This window comes from Homo sapiens, chromosome 1 (assembly GCF_000001405.40).
Source record: "Homo sapiens chromosome 1, GRCh38.p14 Primary Assembly".
In the NCBI taxonomy this organism is placed as follows: domain Eukaryota; kingdom Metazoa; phylum Chordata; class Mammalia; order Primates; family Hominidae; genus Homo; species Homo sapiens.
Window position 1 is genome coordinate 217,607,767 of NC_000001.11, and position 27,942 is coordinate 217,635,708.

General features: G+C 36.0%; 2 protein-coding genes across 13 annotated transcripts in view, besides 2 other annotated features; one reads left to right on the top strand and one right to left on the bottom strand.

Moving 5' to 3' along the window:
• Positions 1–23,324, bottom strand: part of GPATCH2 (G-patch domain containing 2) — a 204,099-nt gene extending 180,775 nt beyond the window's left edge. For 9 of the 10 annotated variants that reach the window (XM_017001592.3, XM_011509690.4, NM_018040.5 and 6 more), the window contains exons 1-5: positions 23,150–23,324; positions 12,017–12,733; positions 6,375–6,436; positions 3,123–3,305; positions 2,555–2,634 (exon numbers count right to left, since the gene is read on the bottom strand). In XM_017001592.3, the coding sequence (XP_016857081.1) occupies positions 2,555–2,634; positions 3,123–3,305; positions 6,375–6,436; positions 12,017–12,733; positions 23,150–23,205 (1,098 nt within the window). In that variant the 5' untranslated portion in view covers positions 23,206–23,324. Of the gene's footprint in view, positions 1–422; positions 2,427–2,554; positions 2,635–3,122; positions 3,306–6,374; positions 6,437–12,016; positions 12,734–23,149 lie in introns of those variants that run through there. The other variant, NM_001297754.3, reaches the window with a different exon arrangement.
• Positions 23,263–23,332: an enhancer, noted in NCBI's record as "active region_2537". NCBI's record gives its function as "activates an Ori minimal core promoter by ATAC-STARR-seq in GM12878 lymphoblastoid cells {active_cell/tissue: GM12878}" and the evidence as "EXISTENCE:reporter gene assay evidence [ECO:0000049][PMID:35858748]".
• Positions 23,363–23,602: an enhancer, noted in NCBI's record as "active region_2538". NCBI's record gives its function as "activates an Ori minimal core promoter by ATAC-STARR-seq in GM12878 lymphoblastoid cells {active_cell/tissue: GM12878}" and the evidence as "EXISTENCE:reporter gene assay evidence [ECO:0000049][PMID:35858748]".
• The window catches only part of SPATA17 (spermatogenesis associated 17), a 240,353-nt gene continuing 235,988 nt past the window's right edge, over positions 23,578–27,942 (top strand). For all 3 annotated transcript variants that reach the window (NM_001375655.1, NM_138796.4, XM_011509194.4), the window contains exon 1: positions 23,578–23,680. In NM_001375655.1, the coding sequence (NP_001362584.1) occupies positions 23,613–23,680 (68 nt within the window). In that variant the 5' untranslated portion in view covers positions 23,578–23,612. The remainder of the gene's footprint in view (positions 23,681–27,942) is intronic.

The window sequence follows — 27,942 nt, forward strand, 5'->3', positions numbered from 1 at the left end:
ACTGAAAACTTTCCCCCAAAAAATGTTTACATTGATATTTCAGTAAAAGATTCTTCCTCTGTCATTTCCTTCAAAGATACTACATCATTATATTTATGCAGTCATCATTCATCTGCTTAAGAAACCTTTTGTTGGCCTTCTGTTTAATGGGTTGCAGCTCCATGTGTTTTACTTTGCTCAGAAAATTAATCTCTCTTAAAAACAATCTGGCTTTCCAGTGTGAAAGTTTAAGGCAATTAAATTTCACTTCTTATTACCAGATGTCATGGATACTGTGTAAAGATGACTGTTTTGTGAGATTATGATTTTTAAAACTAGATATTATAGTTATACATAATATAAACAGCATAAGCAACAACAACAACAATGAAAACTTAGCAAATGAAATCAGAGAAATAGCAGCACAAATTGGAACTCTTACCTTTCTTGCCCAAGTCAGAGATTTTATTGAAAAAAAAAAATTACAGTACTTAAAAATTCAAACAAGGACAATTCAGGGTTGAAAGAAAGAAAACCCGAAGGAGTCCATTGTCTTCAGTAAAGTTTTAAATACAAAAAACATAGACCAGAAAAACAGCTTATGGCCTAATGCACTAGTTCCATGATAAACACACATATATAGTATGTCTCCATCAAGTGAAACTTCATCACCTTTTTACAATTTAGAGAGGGAAAGCAGCTTTTAGTATGGTTAAGCCATGTATCATCAATACCATGAAGCTAGCCTATCAGTTGTAATAGCTTCTATAAAATACCACAGTGAGATTGCAATAAGCCTAGAAAATGGGCTACAAATCCCAGCTATGCTCAAGCAAGCAGTGAACCAAAAATAAAAATAGGTAAAACTGAACCAAGAACTAGATAGCATTCATCTAGATTCATGATTGATAAGGCAAAGTTCATAGGCCAAGGTTTTAAAGTGACTTATTCAGATCTAAAAGACAGTCATTATACAAAATAAAACAAAAGCATTTATGTAATTCAGAAAAAAAACATGAATTTTCACTCCAAAGACATAGCACAGAAAAGCTTACTTACAATTACCAACACCACACTATTGTACCTTTAAATATGCAAAGGTAAAGAGACTCAAAGTTGCATTTTACCATTTTTAATCTCTCCAAATTAGACAAGCAATCTAAAAGAAGATGTCACACATTCCTGTTTAATGCATTTGCTGAAATCTTTCAGACTTTAAAAACTTTAGGTAAAAGCAATGGCAACTTGAAGTTTCTTTTCCAATCATATTTAAGTTAGCCATTAAATGCTGAATTAACAATTAATCCATACAATAATATAAAAATACACATATTAAATCACATTGTTTTTCATTATTGAAGCTTAATAAAAATATCATTTTAATATAACCATTTTGAAGAACTCAAATGGCTGAACTTATTATAGTGTCTAAATTATACCATCAATAGAAACATTACATTTTCCCCCCAGTTGGTGAAAATGAGCTCATGCAAGTATTTCTGACACTCACAGTGACACATATGGTCTGCCATTCTAAAGATGTACAAGCAGCTCTCACTTTTAAACATGACAATATGATTCAGAATCACACAGCATTTGTTAAAAATACCAGCTTTCACATGTTTCATTAAGCTCTAAACCAAAATAATAATTTTGATGTGTTTCAGGTATCAGACAAAGCAGATAATTTAAAAGGTAAATGATTCTACTAGTGCAGACTAGTTATCACTGTGGCTAATTTAAAACGAGGATGATTTTTGCAGTACAATGAAAGCTATACTATAAAATACAATGAGTTTGCAATACAAGCAGATTACCCAAGTAGAAAGGAAGCTGAACAAAATACAAACTCCAGCAAAGATTATCAACCTTACCTACTACTCATCTTAGCCCTTGTTAAAATACCCTGAGTAAAATGCAAATATTTTAAATAATGCTGGTTATATAAGACTTCTCTAAAAATGAACCATAAATGTCAATGCATCATGATTTTTATTTACAACAGTCAGATATGTAAAAATTAATTCTTAATCAGTCACAATATAAACATTAAGGAATACTTGTCGATCTGGAAGTTTAAAATTTTCTAGCTTTGTTAGCATTTTGGCAAAGCAAGTATACATAAATGGATTCAATGTAAAAAAAAAACCATAAAAGAGAAAAATATATAATTTACAGTAGTTTCTATCCACCCTGGGCCAACCTAAATCCCTAGAAAGCCTCCCCAGTCAGGTTCACTTCTGACTAAAAGGAAGAATACCAGTCCTCCAGCAAAAACAGCCCCATCTTTTCATCAAAGAGGCTCTCACTTCAATGATATTCCTCCAGGGAAGAGGACAGGAGCCAGGTTCCCTCGAATGTCATTCCCCAGATGTTCAAAACGTAACTAATTTATTAGCATTAGAAGATTTGGTTTATAGGGGAATCTCACTGGTCCAGTTTGTAGCCTACAAAAAAATGGATTATTTTTAAGTTTAACATTAGAATATGAATAAAGGATGAGGATGTGGCTTTTTATTCCATAGAAATGGAAACATTTCCAAACATGACAATTACACAGAAAAAGTATGCCTACCATTGAAGTTGGAGTCCCTCCAGATTTTTTAATATTCTTTGAAGACATTCCATGAAGGCGACTGAGTCTAGCTTGGAAACCTGTAAAATCAAAGTACTCAATTTAGAAGTTTTCTATGATCACTGAAGCATAGAAGAAGAAGAGGATCCTATCAATAGAGAAAGAAAAGTAAGTTGGTGGTGGCGGTGAATGCCACGAATATTATTTGGGAAAATGCAAAACTCACACTTAAAAAAACTGAAGCAATGCCTAGCAAAGTACTAAGGCAGTCAGCACTTAACTAACCAGTGTTCAATCACTAGAGTAATAAATACCCATTTTCTTTTTTCCGAATTAACATTCTTATCATTTCAACATTTTCTCAATGAGCCTAGCAAGAAAGCAAGTCAATTTTTCTAATAATTTGAAAGCATGATAAATGTAGTAGCTATATTAGTGGCCAATATGTTTCTTTACAGCATCTTGTGTTTACATTCTCTAATTTCCACTTTATCTTATCCTCCTTGAATGAATATTCCTAGACTGACCTTAAACCCATTATATCTACCAGGGAGCCAGTGCTACTGACCTCTTCTGCTTGGGTGTGACATAAGGGGAAAAGAACCAGTTAAGATACTTTCAAAGACAGGATCTGGTACATTTTTGTCTAGCTCAGTAGGATCTTCCTTTTCCCACCAGGGCACAACTCCAGTGATACCACATGCTCCACCTGATTCCTTTTCGTAGAACCAGTCACTCTGTTCATCATCACCTGTGCAAATACAAGAAACCCCCCCCCACCAAAGACTCAGTTTTATCATCCAGTTACACAATTAGTCTTGTCAGGTAATAAAAATACAAGATGGCAGTTAAATTTGAATTTGAGATCAATGACTAACTTTTAATATAAGTATTATATACTTGCACTAAATTTTTGGTGGAAATATGTCTAAGTACTGCATGGGACATACCTGTACTAAAAAATTATGTGTTATTTACCTACAATTTAAATGTAATTGGGGATCCTATGTTTTATTTGACAACTGCATATACAATCTATAAGGAAAACTTTTTATTTTATACCACAGCTTCACTTAAGAAATGTTATCTTAAGACTCTAAGAACTGCCAGCAACAAAAACACAAAATATTATGTTTTAGAACCAATTTTAAAATGTGAAAAACAATAATAAACTGGTTAATCCTTTGGCAAAAACTATTAGAAAATCCATTTAAGTTACTACCCCTTCCACGTTAAGAAAAAACAAACCTTAATCTGCTCCTGGGAATTAAAAAGTATTAAAACTGTGGAACCCTTTCTTTGCAGCAGATATAGGTATATAATTAGCTTAATTTCATGATTTGTATGGAGTGTAAAAGGGGAAACAATCATGAACAGATGTGACTAAATGAAATTAATCCAATTAAGCTCATTAAGAAATAGTTTTGAAAAAGTTGATTTTAAATGAAAAGTGACAATACCTTAGAGTTTATGAAGAAACTATATTAAATAATCGAGATGTTTTTGCCCAACAAAACATTTTTTGTCTGTGAGACAAAAACACAGAAGACAGATGGCTTTTAAAAGAAAGAGACACAGGCCAGTCATGGTGGCTCATGTGTGTAATCCCAGTGCTTTGAGAGGCCAAAGTGGGAGGATCATTTGAGGTTAGGAGTTCCAGACCAACCTGGGCAAGAAAGCGAGACCCTGTCTCTACAAAAAGATTAAAAATTAGCCGGGCATGATGACATGCACCTGTAGTCCTAGCTACTCGGGAGTCTGAGGCAGGAGGATCCCTTGAGCCCAGCAGTTTGGGGTTACAGTGAGCTATGATTGCACCACCAGCCCTCCAGCCTGGACCACAGGGCGAGACCTTGTGTTAAAAAAAAAAGATAGAGAAAAGAAAAGAAAAACAGAAAGAAACAAACAGCATTTTTAAGATGATCTGCGATTCATTAAAGTCTCCTTCCCTTGATTATGAGAAGCCACCACTAATTCTGGTTTCTAAGAGGGTCGTTGTAATTGTCATAAACTTTTCCCTTTACAGAAAGATATTTCTGATTTCTAAAATCTCTTACAACAGACATCTTTAAAGGAAAACTAAAAATACTCTTAAGCTTCAGTTGAAAATTATTTTATGAGAAATAGCTATATTTCAACTAAGTCACAATGGAAAATTAAAGGCATTTCAAAAATTAGAGTCATCAGCTCGTTTCTACTGGGGAATTAATTAAAAAAATTTTTCAAAACACACAATTAACAGCACTTAGATATCAGGACTTTTACTGAGCTTTACATTAAAATTACACAGATCAGGTTTAAGCATAAGAAAAAACAGGGCCTCACTTGAAACTGACTACCATATATCTGAATTCCAACACTATTACAGAAAAATAAAGTTATTTTATTTTTGATGTAATACACAACTTTATTCTTCAATAGGGAAATCAAATAGTCATTGATTAAGAACTTGCTCTGAAATCAGACAGACCAATTAGAATTCTAGTGTCTGTAACATCAGGAAAGTTACTTCAACTCTATTAGAGTCAGTTTCTTCATTTTAAAAACTTGGGAATCTCAAAGGGATTTTAAGAATTAATTAAAAACTTAAATGCAAGGAAAACACTTAGCAACGTGAAACATAGTAAGTTCACAATAAATGCTGGCATATCATTCTAAGCCTTTCCATACTTATCAAAGATTGACAGGCTTGTCAAAGTTTTTTTTTACTTTTTTTCATTTCATTTTATTTCATAACCAATATCAGCATTTATAATACAATCCTGAGAAAAGATCTGTATTTTAATGAGAATTTAAGTATATTATCAGGATGGTTACCCTTGCATTTAGCCCCAGCATTCTAACATATTTCAGCAAAGTATCAACTTTAAAGTCCATGGTCTTTCAAACAGTTATGTACCTATTCATTTAGGACAAATAGTTTACAAGCAGGCAAAAAAGAATGATCACTTATGTTTTTTGTACTGCCAAAAGGATGAACAGACTAAGAAAAAAAGTATAGGAGGCTACTTTGTCCTTTTCTTATAACATCATTAACTAAATTTATAATTTAAAATTTATATTAGTGTTTTTCACTTGGAACTTACTGTCTTCCTCTAATGTATTCTTAAGAAAGGAAGAAAACATTTGTGATAGGTATCTGTATGTATGATTTGTATGGAGCGTAAAAGGGAAACAATCATGAGCAGGTGTGACTAAATGAAATTAATCCTATTAAGGATTAATCCTGCTCCCTTATTAAGGTTTTTTTAAATTTTTCATAGCTTCAAAATACTGCCATGTTACAGACTGAAGCTTCTGGAAGTTTCAAAGATGGAAAACATATAAGTTGCAAGACATTTCTGTTTAATGGTTTACAATATTGAATTCATAAAAATCATCTAATTACTTACAAACTGGATAGAATGAATAAATGTCACAGCTGAATAAAAATGACAAATGACTTGGAAATCCACCTTTATGAATGCTTAAACAGTTTTAAGTACATCTGGAATTAGAGAATGAGAACCAGTTTCTTTCAAACTTGCTAAAAGAGAGAAAATCAAAAAGGTACCTAGAGCTTTCTCAAACAAGATAATCCTTCCTTAATATTATTAGCTCCACATACTAGCTTTTGGAGATAATCAATTACTTAGGTCATGAAGACAGGACACCCTCCATAGCATATAAAAAACCAGCTACGATACTAAATCCTAGTTCACTAAGTAATATGTGTAAGGTAAATGGATTGCAGTCATCAACTTATGAAATAACCAGTAATAAGCTCCACTTTAGAATGAAGAAGTTTTTCCAAAGAGAGAAAAAAATATCATTTCAGTACCTTGTCTTCCCTCATCATTGGTAAACAATCCAGCATCAGTGCTGCTGAGACTGCTGGAATCACTGTAATAAGGAAAAAGAAAGAAACAGATCAAAAGAACAATTGATCTCTCAGTCGTAAAATTTTAAAGAGACATGGCAGCTCAGAGATGGAACTTAAGCCTGACAAAGATCTGAAAGAAAATAAGATGATTTTTTTTTTAATCAAACTGCTAATATCCTGGTTCCATTCACTACAGAGCATATTATTTTTGGCACATAAAACCACAGGAATCTAATGGGACCCTGACAGTAAGCCAGATGTGACTGCAACGAGATGCTGACACAATTGATGCATTTTATCATGTACTTTCATCAAATGCTCACTGCTCCTTTCTTACGTCATGCAATTCAGCTTGAGCCTGGAACACCACTGCTCAATAAAATGGGAAAAGTCTCAATCAAAAGCAGGCTAAGCCTTTCCTCAGCACATGAAATACAAAGGACTAGGATGAGATTACTTTTCATAACCACATTTACAAATATTCTGGAGAAGACATTACTTAAGAATTCACAACAACTCTATTAGTTTGCAAGGAATAAAAAGTTTAAAACGGTGATAATCCATTATATCGAAGTTAAGGTCACTTTTAAGCAAAAAAAAAAAAAAAATAATATTACAAATATTAAGGAGGGAGTGTGTACATATATTCCCACAGAAGCTCCAGAGTCAAATCTAACATACAAATAAAACAAATAGCAGATATTTGAATAACATAAACAAACTGTTACTATTCTAATAGAAGTAATGCTTATATGACAGTCTAGTTTAAAATACCAGGAGAACAAAGTCATATAATATAATGAGAGGCTTAGCTTTTAAAGAAAATTTAGTGATGTTCTTTAAAAATTCTCATGTATTTTATTTTTACTGTAATTCTTAATTTTAACCAATCAGGAAATCATCCCTTTTTTTAATTAAAATACTTTTTCCATTAATATGTAGAATTCCATAATCTTATTTTTTAATAAGGCATCCTAACTTGTTTTAAAATATTTAAATTGAGAAGTTTAGGATTAAAATTATAGATGAGATCTAAATTCACATACATTTTCTGAATATAATTTGTTTCTGTTCGATTTCTTAAAAAATAAATATTAATGAAGAATATAGGAATTTCTTAAGAGGCACATTCTTCCAAGGAGTTCTGAATTTAGACCTCTCTCTAGCTTTCTTCCAAATTAAGTGCATGTACAAAGCTCCCTATATTGTACAATTGGTAATGAAAAAATATTTTCTAAGAGCATCACAACCAAATTTTCTTATTTACAAATATATATGCTCTTCTATGCACTATAATGTGAGAGTGTTAAAATCACCTCAGAAACTATCTTTCTGACATTTCGCTGTCTAAACTACTATTGATACTTTCCTCTTTCCTGTGTGCCCCCCATTAACACAACTCAAATGAAGGGTCTCATATACACCTCAGGTCACAGTTCCTTTTCTGAAACCCTTGAGGCAAAATGTATTTAAAATTCTGAATTACTCAAATTTTAGCAAGGTATATTCTAAAATGCCTCGGAGGAGTCTGGGATAGTACTCCATAAAACAGATTAATATATTTCTTCAATTAAATGAATGAATATCCACATTAAGTACAGGTCAAATTAAATTTGGCCACAAGTGAATTAGTTTTTCATAGCTTTTCAGAGTTCAGATTTGCAGACAAAGCATTATGAATTGATGTGCTATTTTTTCTAGACCATGATCTTCTAATCTGAATTCAGATTTACCCCTCTCTAATCTATTCTACATACAGCCAGGTTCATCTTTTCAAAATAAAACAAGTTGACTAAAAGTAATGTGATATTCTGAAACCAAAAAAGGACATTAAATAACAGCAAAGGAAATTCTAATAAACTATGAACTTTACTTACAAATATATCAATTTTGTTTCATTAATTGTGAGAGATTAACCATAGTAATGTACAATATTAACAACAGGAGAAAGTGGATTTGGGATATATGGGAATGTGATTTACATGAACTCTCTGAACTATCTTTACAACTTTTCTGTAAATTTACATCTATTCCAAAGAAAGTAGTTGATAAACTATGCACACACACATACACACACGTGTACATTATAGAACAGTCTTCTATTTAAAAATTTAAAATTACTTCAAAACTTGTTGAATTAAATTTAGATTTCAAGACTTTCTATGGATGGGCCTCCATCTAAATTCTTCTTATTCCCATCTCTGGTCCTTTTGTTTATGTTCTTTTCCCAGTGGTATGCCTATCTCCACTCTCTTCCCTCTCCACCTGTCCAAGCTCTTGAAGATATAAGGAAATCAGAATTCCCTCTCTTCCAGCTCTGAGTCCTTAATGATCCTTGTCCTACTTTGAGGTATGTTGGCATGCATGTATACAACATGTTTCTTGATTTACATTTCACCTCATTGGTATCTAGAGTTGTTCCGTGTACATTATGTACGTGTTTCTATGTTCAATAAATCAGAACAAGAACTTAAATAGAAACAAGCCTTTTATTTTCAGCAGCTGACAGTCATTACGGCTTATCTCCAAAGACACCCTTTCCTTGGAGATTCACCTTTTTAGAGTGAATTTTATAACACGGTATTTGGATGAGAATATATTCCACATATGCTGGATGAACAAATATATGTACACTAATATCAATCACTTGCCCCAATTTGTTCAATTCCTATATTTTCCGTAGAGTCCTCTTTCTCATTCATCCTCCCAAATAGTCAGTCAACCTCCCATCGATTCTAACTCTTAAAATTGGTCTCAAATACTCTCAAATACTTAGTTCTCTCTGCTATCATATCGTAATTCACTTCCCACTTAAGCATGGATTGGAGGTCAAAGATAAACAAAATACCAAAATACAGCTATAAAGATCACACTATCTTGAAAAAATGTAAATCAACTTGAGTTTCTTCACTGTTAAAAATTCTTCACTGATCCCATTGACTATAAGATGATAAAATCCAAACTATTTACCATAGCAGATAGACCTCTGAGAAATGCTTTTTGCTGTAATTCTGATCCCACTTTATTGCCGGTAAAAACAAAGTATGTATTTTCATTTCACAATTCATGCCTTTGCACAAGCTGCTCCCTCTCTACCTATGAATGCCATTTCCCTCTCTTCTCTTGACTTCCTCAATTCCTGAACAAGTCTTACTACTTGCTTTAAAGCACAGTTCCCTTAGCAAGTCTTCCCTCACTAATACTTTCCACTCAGCACATTTCATTTTCATCATTTGCTTGCCTGGCTATCCCAGACTATGCAGCTGTTGAGAACAGAGTCTCCATTATTAGTCCAGGTGCCACCAGTGAAGAGTAAATTGTAGTTAATCATCAATGTTTGTTAAATCTGACACACACACACAGCCCCCCACACTGAAGTTTCTCTTATTTATAAATCAACCCCAAGGAAATATAAAGCTTTTTGTAGTAGGAAAGCTTTGGAAGTAGTCTTGAAAACGCTTATACTTGTTACCAAAATACCTTAAATATTTAGCAATCTTTGCACAGAAGGAATTTGCACCTAACTTTTAAGTGACAACAGAAAATAGTTTATAAATAAGTTTCAAATCAGAGAAAATATATTTTTTAACATTTATTCAAGAGTAAAAACATACTCTGAAAACGTGTACCTGGGCTGTTTGTGGACTGCTAGGTAGCCTGTTCATGCCTAGTAGATACTCAAATACTTTTTACAATGAAAAGAAATGAAAAATGAGAGTTTGATCTCATATCCATTACCAGTTACATGTCCTATAAAAAAGCAGATCAATAAAAGGAGAACTAAAAAAAAGGGGGGGAGCTTGCACAATGAATCCAAAAAGCAGGTAATCTAATTGTAAATAATCCAGAATTGAGTATGTTATATCAGCTGCCACATACTCTCCCTCCCGGTAATTGAGTCAGACAATTACTTTCAAGTAAGGTTGAATGGTCTTAAGTCACAATGGCCTAATACAAATAATACTTATTTCCATATAAGAATGACAATTTTCTTGCAAGAAAAACAGATACCATAAACTTTTCAAAGCCCTCTGGAAACTTTTTTTTTTTTTTTTTTTTGAGATAGAGTCTTGCTCTGTCGCAGTGGCACGATCTTGGATGTCTGTAATCTCCGCCTCCCAGGTTCAAGCAATTCTCCTGCCTCAGCCTCCTGAGTAGCTGGGACTCGGCGCACATCACCACACTCGGCTAATTTTTCTATTTTTGCTAGAGACGGGGTTTCACCATACTGGTCTGGCTGGTCTCAAACTCCTGACCTCAGGTGATCCACCAGCCTCAGCCTACCAAAGTGCTGGGAGTAAAGGCATGAGCCGCCATGCTCAGCCACAATTTTTTAATGTAAGTAATTTTTACTTCTTTAGAAAAATTATATGACTAGCACACCATGTCTAATAAAAGGATAATTCCATAAACTTTTACCAGGTCCCACTCATTTACAAGCAAAAAAACCCCAAAAAAACAAAATAAAAAATAAAAACCAAATAAAAGATTGATAGCTCACCACAATTCACATGATTAAAATGATCCCAGCCCTTGGGAGGCCAAGGTGGGTGGATCACTTGAGGTCAGGGGTTGAAGACCAGCCTGGCCAACATGGTGAAACCCCGTCTCTACTAAAAATACAAAAAAAATTCGCCAGGCATGGTGGTGCACACAGGTAATCCCAGCTACTCCGGAGGCTGAGGCAGGAGAATCACCTGAACCCAGGAAGTGGAGGTTGCAATGAGCTGAGATCACACCCTTGCACTCCAGCCTGGGAAACAGAGTGAGTCTCTATCTCGAAAAAAAAAAAAAGATAGCAGCCCTATAAATTAAAAATCAATTACTCTTTCTCAGGCCATATTTACAGACTGTTTTTTTCTGGCTCATAGTTCAGCATTCGGTTTTGCGGACCCATGCCTAAAAGGAAAAAGTGTTAATACATTCTCATTTCTTGCAAGTAGCATCACTTCATCATTTCAGTATAAAAGAAAAATGATCACTTACCTTTTGATGCTGTCAAAATAGTACTTAACAATTATTGACAGATTAGATTTACTACCACAGGACCATTGTTTTTCCTATTTTTCTAATGACAAAACCAGGTGTTTCTAGACTATAAATTGGGTTTTAAAATTCATAAGTGATCAGAATTCCTAGAAAGCTCCAGATTTTTTATGTCAAGCCACAGACATGTCGAAGTGGTATAAACTTTTGATGTTCAAGAATCAGGATAGATTAATGAATTGTGACACTCTATAAAGTACCAAAAGCTAAAGGTCTATAATTAAACATATAATTATATATCCAATTCTGAGTTACAAACGTGCTGTTATTCAAAAGCACATTCTTTTCCACTGAAAATCCATTTCCTTTCCTCCTTGTAGCTGAAAATTGAGTCATTATAATACAATCAAAAGACTTTGTGTAAATCAAACAAGCAATTTTGCTTTGTGCTAAACATCATAAAGTATAAGGAAATATAACCATAGCTAAACAGTAATATCACTATCATTATTACAATTTATAATTATTTTAAAATAGAATTAATTAAAATATAAAACATTCAACCACAAACACTGGAGATAAATATTTTTATATTTAGAGAATATAAAAGTCACCTTTCACTCATGAGCTCATCTGAGACTTTTTGCTCTTCACATTCCATTTTGTCCTTATTGGTCTGGTTCGTTTCCTCACTTTCTAAAACTACTCCTTCATCTTGGATTTTTGGTCCTTGTCTGATTATTTTCAACTTTCTTTTTTTGACTTTGTTCTTGGTAAATTCTTGATACTGGTAGGCTCTATCACTGTCCATGTCCTGATCTCTACAACCCTCAGGTGGCTGGGTCATTGTCCGTTTGTTAGAGATGTCCTGTGGGAGATCTACTGCCATGCGTTTTACCTTTCTCCTCCTGCGCAGAGTTCTATTCCCAACATTGTCCACAGCAAAATCAGACTCATGCCATAGAGGTCTTTTCCCTCGAACATTATTATTTAAGTTTGATGACGGCCTGCGCTTTGCTACTAACATTTGGTCATCAGAGTCACTGTGATCTTTTTTATTATTATTGTGATTCTCTCTATAGTCCTTGCTTGGTTCTTCTAAACTAGAATCAGAGCCTTCACTTAAGCAGTGACCAGTCTCCCACGGGTGATGCACATTATACGACCTCCGTTTTCTCCCTCTCCTTTTCCTTGCCTGGCGTTTCAGAGGGCAAGATATACTTCGAGAATGGTCTCCTGTTTCAGCAAATCCACCTCGAGCTTGCTCTGAGCTCTCTTCCAATGCTGAGACAAGGTCATGAACCAGCTCCTCCATGGTTCTACTGAAATGCCTTCATTTTTTAGAGAAAGAAAAAAGAAAATAGTCAGTCTTAACCACAGTAACCTCATTTTCTATAACAGACAATTCATTCTAAATTCGACAAAAATTAATGATTACAAAATGTTTCAAAGCTAATTTTCCTATCCAAGATATTACAGTTTTAAATATTGATTCATTTTAGGCCTCTTCTTATATAAGTTCTTTTATTAAACATAGGAATTACTTCCAAGATAGAATAAGCTTATGAGCAATGAAAGATCCCAGTATTTTTATATTTTTCTGTATAATTATGGAAAAGTTCTGTTTAAATCCCTATCCGCTGGCCCACTCCTACCCCTTTTCTAGAGCCAGTTTTCCTACAGCAGATACAGAAAGAACTTTCTCAGTCCCCTCTTCGCCCACTAATCTCTAAGTAAAAAAAGAAACATGAAATCTTCTATTCACCACGTGCCCTAACCAGTCACTGTCATATAAGAGGCAGTTAGAAAGACAGACAGGTAGTTTCAGGATTAGTAATATACGTGAAAGTTTAACCAACACCATGCATTTATTTAGGCCACACTAATCTCTTAACCCAGTGAAGCACAAACTACATTCGCATTCAAATTGGAGCCTCACTGGTTTCAAAGGGCCCATCATTACTTCATTCTGAAGCAATCTCTTAGGCTTTCCTTTTTTAAGAGCATTAAACTATATTACCAGTATGAAAATTATCCAGTAGTCAGCAAGAATAAGCATAAGCATTCTTTGGGAATTTTTATAAATTATACCTGTCCTTTTAAAACCCAATTCCCAAAGATTTTAAATTAGTTGGGGTGACATACAGCCAAGGTATCTGGTTTTATTTTTTAAACATCACAGGCAATTCAGATTTGCACCCGTCTTATGAAGACCACAGGCAATCATTTCTAAAATCGAGATCTAGAGGCACCTAGGGATTGAAATATTCTCAACAGTCATACAGAGCTTCTAGAGCCTACAGCAGGAGTAGGCTTTTATGTAACTGGCCTGCTAGTAAATATTCTAGGCTTTGCAGGCCATTGGGTCTCCCAAAACTACTCAACTTGCCACTATAATGCAAAAATAGCCACAAGCAATACATAAATAAATGGGTATGGCTGTGTTCTAATAAAGTTTTATTTATAGAATCAGGTTATAGCTGGTTATAGTTTGCTGACCCATAGTCTATATAGTCTCTACAATCATGTATAGTCTCCAACAGTCAATAATTTCAGGCTTTTGCAAGTTCCTTATAACAGCTTTCAACTTTTGTCGTTTCATTTTAATAACCTAAAAACAACACACATTGTGATTCAACTGGATTTGCCATTTATAATGTGATGCATACAAACAGCTTCTAACATTTGCGCATTTACTATTTGCCAGGCTCATTTCTAAGTGTTTTACATATATTATTTCATTTCATTCTCACACAACAACCCTATGAGGTGGGAGATGAAATACACAAAGGCCGAAAGATCTCTGTCACAATGTGATGCGTCTAAGTAGTGGAGACAGGATTCAAACTCCAGCAATCAGGTTCCAGAGCTCCAATGTTCACCAAACTACAGCCAAGATCAGCTACACGATCCCAGTGGCCAGTTTGTATTTTTGTTTATGATTAATTTAGCACCAGGTAGTATTACTGTAATCCTCAAGACAGATTTAATATACATCTATGTAAAACCCAAATGACTCGTAGGTAGCTATTACATGGTTTTGAATAGAAAAAAGAAGTGAAAGACCTGAATCAACACAAGGGACAGGGTGGCATAGCTGGTGAAAGTAAACTGAGCTCAAAGAACCAACCCTGTACTGGTTAGTAAAATGTACACTGTGAGCAACTAAGTAACATGGCATTGCGGTTTGGTTAATGTGAATTTGTATTTTCTAGAATTATTTCCATGGGCATTCTGAATGTATTTAATATAAACAAAAAATCTAATGCATACAGCTTTTTTAAAAATGTGGTGATTCAAATATCTATTTTAAATAAACTCTGGAGGGCCACTGAGATTTGATTTTTCCTTTCTAAGGGTACTATATACAACTCAGGGTTTTTTTGTTTGTTTGAGACGGAGTCTCGCTCTGTTACCCAGGCTGAAGTGCAGTGGCATGATCTCGGCTCACTGCAACTTCTGCCTCCCGGGTTCAAGTGATTCTCCTGCCTTAACCTCCCGAGTAGCTGGGATTACAGGCGCACGCCACCATGCCCGGCTAATTTTTGTATTTTTTAGTAGAGACAGGGTTTCACTGTGTTGGCCAGGCTGATCTCAAACTCCTGACTTCAAGTGATCCACCCGCCACGCTTCTCAGTGCTGGAATTATAGGCGTGAGCCACCACGCCCAGCCCCACAAATCAGGATTTAGAACATTGAATTTGATTAAAAGAACTGTGTATCACATAGGAATTAGCATTCGGCCAAACAAAACAGAGGCTACAACTTTGACTACACTGATAAGCCAAGTGAATCTTTTTTCTATTATCTATGTTATCAAATGCCCTTTTCCCTTAAAACAATGAATATTTTGTTCTTTTCCTGTGACATTATTTAATTAAAAGAAATATAGTCTGAAAGACCTATTGTCTCTGAATATAATATTGCACCTTAAAAAACATTCACTTGAAAAAAATACACTTTAACATGTATTAAAATCAATATCCTCTCTCTCTATTATCTGGTTCTGGAGTAACTTACTCTTGGAAGACAGTTTTCTTATCAATGGGTGAATGGCCAGTTCAAAATAATAAAACATGAAATTAACTCGATGTATGAATATAATATCAAATTAAAGTCAGTTTAGTTTGGATATTACAATTTAGTGCTTTACTGCAGCACAGAACATTTATAGTACTAACATTAGAAAGAGGTTAACACATCTGATTCAATCCATTGTAATCTGATACTCTTCAATTAATTTTGTTTAAAAAGTATTGCTGTAACCAATAGAGTTTAATAAAATATAACTGCTAATATTACTAAGAATGAAATTTCTTAGTAATAGAAATTTCATTCTTAGTAATATTAGCAGTTATATATGCAAAATTTCCCTAGAATCTCATGAAAACTGTGTCAGCCTTATTTGACTTTATGTTGCTTCTCTCAAGAGAAAATAAAACTTATTTTTAGGCTGGGGGCGGTGGCTCACGCCTGTAATCCCAGCACTTTGGGAGGCTAAGGCGGGCAGATCACCTGAGGTCAGGAATTTGAGACCAGCTTGGCCAACATGGTGAAACCCCATCCCTACTAAGAATACAAAAATTAGGCTGGCGTGCTGGTGGGTGCCTGTAATCCTAGCGACTCGGGAGGCTGAGGCAGAAGAATCACTTGAACCCAGGAGGCGGAGGTTGCAGTGAGCTGAGATCGCAACATTGCACTCCAGCCTGGGCGAAAAGAGCAAAACTCCATCTCAAAAAACAAAAGAAAAAACAAACAAACAAAAACCATATTTTAAAAAACACTGTAATTAGCAGAATCCAATTTATTCCATGATGTCACTCAAATATGAATCAACTACATATTACTTTTAAAAGCTTTTTTGAAAAAATCCTATAAAAACCCAGAAAAAATACAGACTTAACAAGTCCTACTCAGAGTTCAAATTATCTTTTTCCCCTTCAGTTTCAAATAACTACACTCTCCTCCAAGTCAATACCAACCAAAACCCATGCTAATGAGCCAGTAATATTATAGTCAATTAACGTCAAGCTGCTTCACTAACATCCCTCAGTTAAAACTGGCATCGGCAGGGCACAGTGTCTCACGCCTGTAATCCCAGCACTTTGGGAGGCTGAGGCGGCAGGATCACTTGAGACCAGGAGTTCAAGACCAGCTTGGCCAACAAGCTGAAACCCCGTCTCTACTAAATATACAAAAATTAGCCATGCACAGTGGCAGATGCCTGTAATCTCAGCTACTCAGGAGGCTGAGGCAGGAGAATCACTTGAACCAGGAGGCGGAGGCTGTAGTGAGCCAAGATCATGCCACTGTACTCCAGCCCGGGAGGCAGAGAGACTCTTGTCTCCTACTGGCCCATCAAAAACAAAGTGATCCTAAGAGACCATCACATGACCAACAGCTCTTTTATTTCCTTTGCCTTGGCAGTTTACACTGATGCATCAGAAGACCAATGTATTAAAACACTTTATCCTAGAGATAGTTTCTTAAATAAGAATTTCCTATTAAAGGGGAAACCTGGAAATATAGCACTTTTCTATACAAATCTGTACTTACTGAACAACCAGTTTTAAAGTTTGAATTATACTAAATTCAGTGAATGTACCACTTAACTAATTTGAGATTTTTATATTCATAATTGTAAGAGCCATTTTTCTTCATTTGGAACTCATTTGGAAATGAAATCTTCTGGGAACAGTTAATATTGGGTAATATCTAAGATAACAATAGTTCATCAATAGTTTTATTAAAATAGTCCGAATGAACAGAATACCCCAAAACAAAATTATGGCCCCAACATCTACATAAAGTTGGATTTTATGAAAGGAAATGATTTGGGCAGATGAGTACTTTGTTTTTTCGGGTGGTATTGGATTATGCTGAGCAATATAAAATGTATGATCAATCCAAGATTTGATATGCAAGCTTTATTTAAAAATGTTAGGCCAAAGGTCAAGTTTGTTTGTTTCGCTTCCTCTACCAAATACCCAGTAAATGAGTGAACTATTATCCTTGGGTTCCTGATCTATTCTAATAAATTCAGGCTCTAATAAATTCAGAAAAAGGCCTTCCTAAAAGTGGAATCCGTTTAAGAATAAGACCAATCAATGTAGAAAACAGAGTTTAGTGTTTTTCTTTCAAATATTTCTGGTTCAAGGAAGAAGAATCAGGAAGATGCTTTAGTCCTAACTTATTGCTTAATCTACCCTAAGAACTGGGAGTTGATTGATGGCCCATGAGCTCTTAAATGTCAGTTAGCAATATATTAATATAAGTGGGAATAGCAAGAGTGAAGAAAGCCCCAAAAACAGATTCCCCGAGAAATAAACAGTCAACTATTTTTACAATGACTATTGCTTTTTGAAGCCTCTGTTACCAATAATTGCTATTCCTAATAGTGAAAAATAAAGTATATATAGAAAAGTTAGTCAGGGAATAATTTCCTTGCCTAGATGCTGATAAAAACTGTGTAACAAGAGGATATGCATGTGTGTCTACTAAATAAACCCAAGTTCATATTAAAAACAAAAACTGGCCGGAAGCAGTGATCATGCCTGTAATCCCAGCATTCTGGGAGGTCGAAGTGGGTGGATCACCTGAGGTCAGGCATTCAAGACCAGCCTGGCCAACATGGCGAAACTCCATCTCTACTAAAAAATACAAAAATTAGCTGGCCGTGGTGGTGCACACCTGTAATCCCAGCTACCCGGGAGGCTGAGGCAGGAGAATTGCTCCAACCCAGGAGGCAGAGGTTGCAGTGAGTCAAGATCACGCCACTGCACTCCAGTTTGGATGACAGAGAGACTCTGTCTCAAAAAAAAACCTTCCGGATAGAACTCAAGGATAACTGATTATAGCTATTAGGTATCTAATTAAGGAAGAGGAAAGTAAATATTGTTTATCACCTAGTACTGGGTAAAACTCTCATCTTTACTTCTCTAAAACATGGATTATCAGTTCTTCAAAGTTAAGTAATTTTGGGAATGCAGTGCTAAAAGTAAGTTACCTGGTGTTAAGTACATCTGCTTAATTGGCTTACAAAAATGTAAGGGAATAAATAATCATTAATGTATTAGTTTCTGTATAAATAAAAATTCAGTGTGTACAAAAACACTGTACTAACACACAGTACATAGTCAAGGACTATGCTGCTGAATGTTATAAACTACTCACAAACTTAACACAAAGATAGTCTTGTACTTATACGCCTCCATTATCATATTAGCTTTTATTTAAGATAGAAAATGTTGGTTGGTCCTAAAAGTATGCAGCAAACAGCTGAACCAAGCAGATTAAAAGTAATGCATAATAGTGTAGACTATGAAAATGAGTGACTAAACATGCAAATGGTGAGCCTTCAAGATGCCACATCAAGGCTAAATGACTAATGACTTTATGACTAATTTAACACCATACGATCCCTAAGAATTATCTTAAGATTTCTGCTGCTTATGGGAATTTATATATTTCCCTCCTCAATGGGAATATTATTCATCAAATAAGTCCTTATCTCAACCTAGGAATCTATTAAGAGACTATGTCTTCAATTTTCTCCTTTTATATATATGTGAGGGAGTGGGCAGGCATTATCTTAGGAAAATTATCAATAACCCTAACACTAAATGTCGACACTTATGCTAGTTTAGAAAATCCTTGACTCACCTATTTAAATTATTAATCAAAAGTAAATTTTTTCTCTCTTTTTGAAAAAGGTAGGGTGGGATAGGGAAGAATTATCTTATTCTGAAACATGTAAATGATTAATTACAACTTTACATTAATATTAGGCAATAAATAGGAAACACCATTCTCTAGGGAAAAAAAAAAGGCTGGGAGAAAACTACAGAGAACATGAGCTTAGAAATCAAGGCTATGAATTTGGTAGCTAATTCCAGTTATATTCATTAGCTATAGGACATTGGACAAATTACCTATCTTCTGATTCTGTTTATTCATCATAAAAATCTGCATAATTTCTACCTTGAAAAGATTTTTCTGAGGATGAGTGGGTACTTAATGTTCAAGGTAAGTTATTTCATGTTTCAACGACCTCTACCCACAAATAAGAGAAACTGGTCACCAAAAGATCCCAAATAATTCTGCTTTTAAGATATAACCATACTGGGAATCTTGAGGGTATTATAGTTAAAGGCCTTCAATCTTTCTGAGGTCATGAAGCACTCTGAATGTCGGGAAAAGGAAGGCTAGCAGACATATATAAATTGCTGCATACAATTTCAGTAAGTTCATGGACTCCTTGAAGACTCTATGGAGCTAAAAAAAAATTTTAAATCCCAAATTAAAAAAAATTAATGCTATGTATCTGACCTATTTCCACCTTAAAAATATACATATGTAAAGTTAAAAAGATTAAATAATCCTTCCCCGTTAAAACTGGAAAGGAAGCAAAAGCTCCACTAACTTGTATTCAATCACGGGTGCTCCTGGCAGCTTCTACTTTGTCACCTTTGTTACCATAGGAACTTTCAGGAAGTTTTCTTTCCTCTTTACCATGGTTTGCTCAAAATCAAACCGTGAATGGCTTTAAGAAAAAAAAAGTCTAACCCTAGTTTCCAAATTAGTGATTTAATAAGGCAAGCTCATTTATTATTAAATCTGAAGACCATGCTTCTGATTTTTTTGCTACTTCATTTAATGACTTCATGAGTCATTCAAACTTTTCCTTACATTCTAATTGCTTTCAAAATGTAAACTATTAAAAAGCTGCCTATAGGAAATAAAGTCAGTTTAAAACAAAACAAAAAATTTAGAATCTAATAAGTAATTCATTATAGCTCTTGTCAATATGCATATATTCAAATGCATTAGGCAAACAGTAAGTAGGAAATGAGTCTTATTTAATGTTTATATTAACATACAGTAACTGTTCAATAAAAATTTACTGAACATATAACCTGAATTCCTATAACAGGAATGAGAATGAAGACAACTGAATATTAATTAGAAGCATACTGCTTGACACATAACAGATTTTAAAAAATAATCTGCCAGATGAGCAAACCAATGAATGACTAAATGACTGAACAAAAAACAAAAGAAAAACATAATGACTAAAACTTTTAGACAATCCATATTCCAAATTTTCTGCTACATTAACAAGCCAGACACTCTAGGCTTTTAGCTAAGTAAATGTGAAGTTAAGGAAAAATTATCAAAGACAACGTAAAGGCTTCCAGCTTGACATAAATATGGATGCTAAGAAGCTATAACAAATTTAATGAATTACTTGAACAAAATCATACTGTTTATTGCTTTGATTCTTAATTGTTGAAACAAAAACCTGACTCAAACCTGCCAGTATGCAACTAAGTTCAAGACTAACAAACTCCAAAAAACAAGCAATTCAAAAAAATGCACACCATTTACTATGCAGTTTTCTGGATTTCAATAAAATCAAAATACCTAATAGGAATGAAAATGCAGAAACAAAAGTCCAGAGTCAATATAGTTTATTTTAATGGCTTTTTTTTAAGCAAAGCCACATAATAAAGTTAAAAAAAAAAAAAAAAGAATACCATAGTTGAATACAGAAATTATCCACATTTACCCATTTGGTGCCTAAAAATTGAAACAGCAACGTCCACACTGGAGAAGTTGAAAAAGTCAAGATGGGAGCTAAATAAGTCAGAAAATCCAGACTGGTTAACAAATTTGGGCATCTAACTGCTAGGTTACATATTCCTTGAGATATTATATCTCATTCAGACACATAGGCAACATATAAAAGTGGTTAAGAATTTTGGGGGGGTATACTGGAATCATCCTGCAAATATGATACTTAGGCCAGTTACTTAAACCATCTTTGCTTCTGTGTCACCTTATCTAAAATGCAAAGAATGATACACCTACCTCAAAAGATTTACATGAGATGACACATATTTGTAAAACCTGGCACCTAATTAACTGCTTAGTAGCAGTATTCCCAGTGGGACTGGAATTTATTACTGGGATCAAACATACTTATATAGTAAATATCTGTTCAATTAATGAAGAAGAAAATTCCATTAAGAAATCTGGAATTTTTACATTCCAGATAGTCATACAGATAGTCATACAGATAGACTAGAAAATAAAGATCCAGTTTTCTGGAACATATTCATTCTGACAGAACAGGAATGACTTTAGAATTTCATTCAAAAATACTAAGTGCTACCACTTTGTTATACTCTGGTGCCATAAGAAATGGTGAGTTGTATGACAAGCGAGCCTTTAAAGAGAATTGAAGGAGGTTTCTCTCAGTACCTAACCATGATTTTAAAGGTAAAAGAAGTTGAGAGAATCAATCACATTCTGATGTAGTCACCTACCCTACAAATCAATAGCACCCTAGGAAGAGCAGACCAATCTACATAGGACATTTTGTCTCCCTGACTTAACCAAGATAATGAACAGTGAAACATTAAGACAGGTATCCTTGAGAGGGAACTGTGGGGTGATGGACAAATCCATTATCTTGTTTTGTGTGGTGTTTACATAAGTATATGCAATTGCCAAAACTAATAAAATTAAGCCTGTAAAAATTGTGCATTTCATTCTATGCTAGTTATACCATTAAAAACTGGTTCATTTAAAAAATGCTCCCTACTTTTCTCACTGGAAAATGTAATAATTTACAAATAGTATAATCAAATCTATATTCACTATAAAATTAACTACAGGATGATCAGGTCCAACTAGAAATATTTTGGATAAGGTATTCTTTTAACTTTTCAGTGATAGGTGATGGAAAAGCAATTATCTGAGATCACAGACTACTAGAATTCCTCATGTTCTAATTTTTGCAGAATCTAGGAATGAACACGCACCATTTAGCCACATTTCTTTCACCTGTTGGTCAGAACTTTATGTTTGAGGATTTTCAATGGGAAATTGCTTGTTTGTGTCACTGGTTGTCTTATGTTATGTTTGGAGGAAAAGGGCTTGGGAGAAAAACAGGACAGATAATACAGAGTGTTCAACTAGAAATCCCCAAATCAGGATTCTAGCTCTAGGATTAAAATGTACAGGGCAACTTTGGACACGGTACTTGAATTTTCTGTGCTTGTGATATTCTGCTATCACAAGGCTGTCATAGGATAAAGTGTATTAATTTGTGGAAATACTTTGAAAAGTCAAAGCAATATATTATTCTAACATGATACCATAGACATAGTCAAGCCCCAAACTTAATCCTGACAGTTATAGGTTCTTGGAAAGCCCCCATACATATCTCACTTTAACTTGAATAGAATGTTCAAGAGGGTGGAAACAGGTAGGTTACCCTCTCTCTTTAAAAAAGGGGGTGAGAGGGTGATGTGTTTTCCACGATTGAACTTCCAGAACTCTAGATTTCTGGAATTTATCTTCCAAAAGACTTGGTATAATCTGGTAAATATTGAAAGAGGAGTGGGGAATAAGGCCCGGATTAAGATAAATTCTTCCTGTCCCTAGTGTTGTCAACAATCAATGAGGAGATGAATTGCTCCTGGAGTACAGGAAGCTTGACTTCTAAAATATTGTTAAACAAGCAATCAGAAAACATTTACTGTATTCTTTCACAAATCTTTGGCACACACCCAAGAGCTCCCTCAAACTGCGTGCATCCCAGGAATGAGTGAGAGCAAGGCCTAGATGTCTTCAGATCATCCATCACAGCTCCCTCCCGCCTCCATTCCAGGTCCAGCGGAGCGGCCTCGGGCAATCACACCCTTCCCTGACCTCCCCCTCCCCAGGGCCGCCAGCCTCACCAGCTGTTCCCGGCTGCTGGAGCTCCGATCGGTTGGCGCCCGGCGGCCCCGAACATTAACGACACCCGGGAGCCTGGCCTCGAAGCTCAGGCCCGTGAACAGACTCCAACTACAACAGCACCGGCGACTTCCAAAGAGCAGTTCAGCATTTTGAGATGAGCTTCCGGAAGCCGACAGGCGGCGGAAACCGGATGCCCGGAGCAACCATTAGTTCTCCGCGTTTACTGCTTTCCCCTTCCTATAATCCCCTCTTCCTACTCGCAGTAGAGACAGAGACAAATAAATTAAACTTTTGTGCTACACAGAAATTTCTTAATTCTCTTTTTAGTGCTCTTAAAGTCAAAGCAGCATGAGAGAAAAGAGGAGTGAACAAAAAGTCGAACCCCGGGAGTGAGCTATGGTTTAGCCCAGTTACCATGGAGACCGGTAGTAACACCAGTTGTAAACCCAAGGCCAAGAGACCATGGCCACGTTAGCCCGGCTGCAAGCTAGGTCGTCGACTGTAGGAAATCAGTACTACTTTAGGAACAGGTAAGTCAGGAAGAGAAGGATCGCGTAAAGGGCGGGCGTGACTTTATACCAGTTGTTCCTCAGCGGGAGTTTCCAATTAACGATTTAACGATTACCCTAATTCATTAAGTAGTACCCAATTCTTCCCTTAATGGGCTGCAAACATAATTGGGAGTTTCTGTTACCATACAACGAAATTCTAAATAGAGAGGGGCCGTAGATATTCAGTGTGAGATGATTTAAGGAAACTCCCAGCATAGATAAAATTGTAAAGTGCTTTTTTTCTTCGACATCACCACTCTGCAATTTGATGAAACCTATGTTCAATACCCTGACTGGGGGTCACCCTGACTCACTAGCCCAATGAACTCAGATTGTGTCCCATCTACCTAGGGATTTGAGCCTCCGTTATTTTACAAACATCACTAAACTCAATTGTTCTATGACTCATTCGCCTTTTTAAAATGAACGTATCTGCCGGGTGTGGTGGCTCACGCCTGTAATCCCAGCACTTTGGGAGGCCGAGGGGGGCGAATCACCTGAGGCCAGGAGTTCTAGACCAACCAGGACAACATGGTGAAACCCCGTCTCTATTAAAAATACAAAAACTAGCCGGGCATGGTGGCACATGCCTGTCATCCCAGCTAGTCCGGAGGCTGAGGCAGGAGAATCGCTTGAACCTGGGAGGCAGAGGTTGCAGTGACCCGACATTGTACCACTGCACTCCAGCCTGGGTGACAAATTAAGACCCTGTCTCAATAAATAAATAAATAAATATAAATAAAATAAAATAAAATGAAAGTGTCTAAACCATTCTGACACGGTAACTAGTACCAATATATTAATTAATAGATAACGGGTAAGAAAACCACTAGCAGTCTTCTTCATCTCCCTACAGCCAAACTTCTTGCCCAGGAAGAGTTTCATTTTAAAGAAGCATTGCCCCAGGAGTTTTTGTAACTTAAAAGAAACTGCAAAAAAGTGAATTAGACTATTATGGAATACAGTGACATGACAGACCAATGGAAAATATGTCAATGAGATAGGGTCTTGCTGAGCTGCTTTTATTCTAACGTTTATCTCACCTACTACATCATTATTTCACAACGTACCTCTCTTACAGCACTGATCACAATTCAATTTTACATTCTTTTATGAGATAATATCTATCTCCCCTCTTAAACTAGTAGCAGAGACAGTGTCTCTTATTTTGCTCACCATTATTTTTGTCTCCAACGTCTATGATAGCCCCATACAAATAATAGTAACACAATAATTGTTGAAGACTCACATTAATGAATTTTTCAATAAATCTGTAGCCCTGGTTTAAGTAAACATACTAACAATAGCTAAACATAGAAATTATCTATTTATTTAGAGTATGTGGCAGGTGCTGTATTTATGACATATATAAATGAAATAAGCCCCATCCATCATGATGTTCACATCCTTGTATGGAATATAGGCTTTTAAAAAATAATTACAATACTAGCTGGGCTCAGTGGCTCATGCCTGTAATCCCAGCACTTTGGGAGGCAGAGGCAGATGGATCACTTGAGGGCAGAAGTTCCAGACCAGACTGGCCAACATGGCAAAACCCTGTCTCTCCTAAAATTACAAAAATCAGCCAGGCATGGTGGTGCACGCCTGTAGTCCCAGCTACTCTGGAAGCTGAGGCAAGAGAATCAGTTGAACCCAGGAGGCAGAGGTTGTAGTGAGCCGAGATCGCAATACTGCACTCCAGCCTGGGCGACAGAGCAAGACTCTGTCTCAAATAAATAAATAAATAAATAAATAAATAAATAAATAATAACAACAATAGAGTAACATGGACAGAAAGGGAAACAACCAGTATTTTTTGAGGACTGATTATATATGAGGGATTGCACCAGGAACAACTACATATGATATTTCACTTGGTTATCACAATGTTATAAGTTAATGTAGAAATTATCTATTTATTAGATAATCTATATTTTTAGAGCTATAGAACAATGTTCTAGAAAAGCCTGATGAAGTGCCAAACAAACAATTAATTGGCCAGGCACAGTGGCTCAGGCCTGTAATCCCAGCACGTTGGGAGGCCAGGGCAGGCGGATGTCTTGAGGTCAATTATGAATTATCAGAGCCAACTAATCTAACTCTAAAACCTCCGCTGTTCACTGTCACTAAACAAAATTTTCTTCCCATTAAGCTGATTTAATTAAATTGCAACAAGCACCAAGATCCAGAGGTCCAAATGGCTTGAGTGTACTGTCCCAAATCCGTTAACATGTAGGGAACAGAGTTGTGGGAAACAATTTAAAGTCTCCTTGGTTTCTTTCAATGTCTTCTGTTTTCGTAACAAGGTACGGACAAAAAGGCTTCTTCCTAATGGCTAGCATCAGAATAACGCTGAAGCTGAAAGATGACTTGGTTGAGAAAATACATTCCTAAGTGTTTAGGTTAGTATCTGAGTCCTGTGAGGCCTGGAAGTCCAATGTGGAAACGAGAAGCTCCTCTGCCTAACAAAGAGGAAGGATCTGGAACTCCAAGAAGTGAGCAGCAAATACAGGAGGAGATTTTGAACTACAAAGAATAGGAGGAGTGTGGGTTGCCCGACTGACATAATACTCTGGAAAGTTGCTCCCACAGGGAATGTTTGGTGTGTGTTTATGTTTTGGCCAGCCCATCAAAGAGACTGAAAATTTTGTCCTGGACATAAGGTGAACAAAAGATAGTAGGCAGTTGTTGTAACTTCCCAGTGGGTTCACCTTGCCTGTTGCCTAGACAGAGCCAATTTATCAAGACGGCAATTGCAATAAAGAAAGAATAATTCACACAGACCCGGTTGTGTGGGAGACCAGAGTTTTATTGTTACTGAAATCTGTCTCCCTGAGCATTAGGGGATCAGAGTTTTTAAGTATGATTTGATGGGTTAGTGTGAGGCCAGTGAGTCAGGAGGGCTGATTGGTTGGGTCAGAGATGAAATCATAGAGGGTGGAACCTGTCTTCTTGCACTGAGTCAATTCTGGGGTGGGGGCCACAAGGTCAGAGCCAGTTTATCAATCTGGGTGGTGCCAGCTGATCCATCAAGTGCAGCATCTGCAAAATATCTCTAGCACTGATCTTAGGTTTTACAATACTGATATTATCCCCAGGAGCCATTTAGGGAGGGTCAGAATCTTATAGCCTCCAGCTGCGTGACTCCCAAACCATAATTTCTAATCTTTTAACTAATTTGTTATTCCAACAAAGGCAGTCTAGTCCCCAGGCAAGAAGGGGGTTTGCCTTGGGAAAGGCCTATTATCATCTTTGTTTTAAACTATAAACTAAGTTCCTGGCAAAGTTAGTTCAGCCTATGTCAGGAATGAACGAGGACAGCTTGAAGGTTAGAAGCAAGATGGAGTTGGTTAGGTCAGATCTCTTTCACTGTCTCAGTTACAGTTTTCCAGTGGCAGTTCCATTGTCACTTGACAGAGTATTGGCCTTTTTGTTGTTGTTGTTGTTGTTGTTGTTGTTGTTGTTGTTAACTTTCTCTAGTAATTCCTAGCTTCATTTCTGTTCTTCCAAACTATGAGATTTTCTTTGTGACTTATTGGTCATTTATACTATACACTACACTGTACTTTGTGGAGAAAAGAGTTCAGTATATGTTTATTGATCATGTTGTTCATTTTCCCCATATTCTTATTTAAATTTCATCAAATCTGTCAAATTCTAATAGGAATAAGTTAGAATGTTCCTCTTCCACTGTGTTTCTATAGTGTGGGTGAACCCAAAATATCTGAGACAGGCTTCAGTCAATTTAGAAAGTTTATTTTGCCAAGGTTAAGGATGCACCCATGACACAGCCTTAGGAAGCCCTGATGTCATGTGCCCAAGGCAGTCCAGGTACAGCTTGCTTTTATACATATGTATTATGGAGACATAATACATCCATCAATACAGGTAAGGTTTATATTAGTTCCACAAGGTGGGGGCCCTTTAGGTCTTAGGTAGATTTAAAAATTTTCTGGCCAGGCATGGTGGCTCACGCCTATAATCCCAGCACTTTGGGAGGCTGAGGTGGGTGGATCACTTGAGGTCAGGAGTTCCAGACCAGCCTGTCCAACATGGCAAAACCCTGTCGCTACTAAAAATACAAAAATTAGCCAGGGGTGGTGGTGCGCACCTGTAGTCCCAACTACTCGAGAGGCTGAGGCAGGAGAATCACTTGAACCCAGGAGGCAGAGGTTGAAGTGAGCCAAGGTCGGACCATTGCACTCCAGCCTGGGCAACAGAGCAAGACTCAAATTCTGATT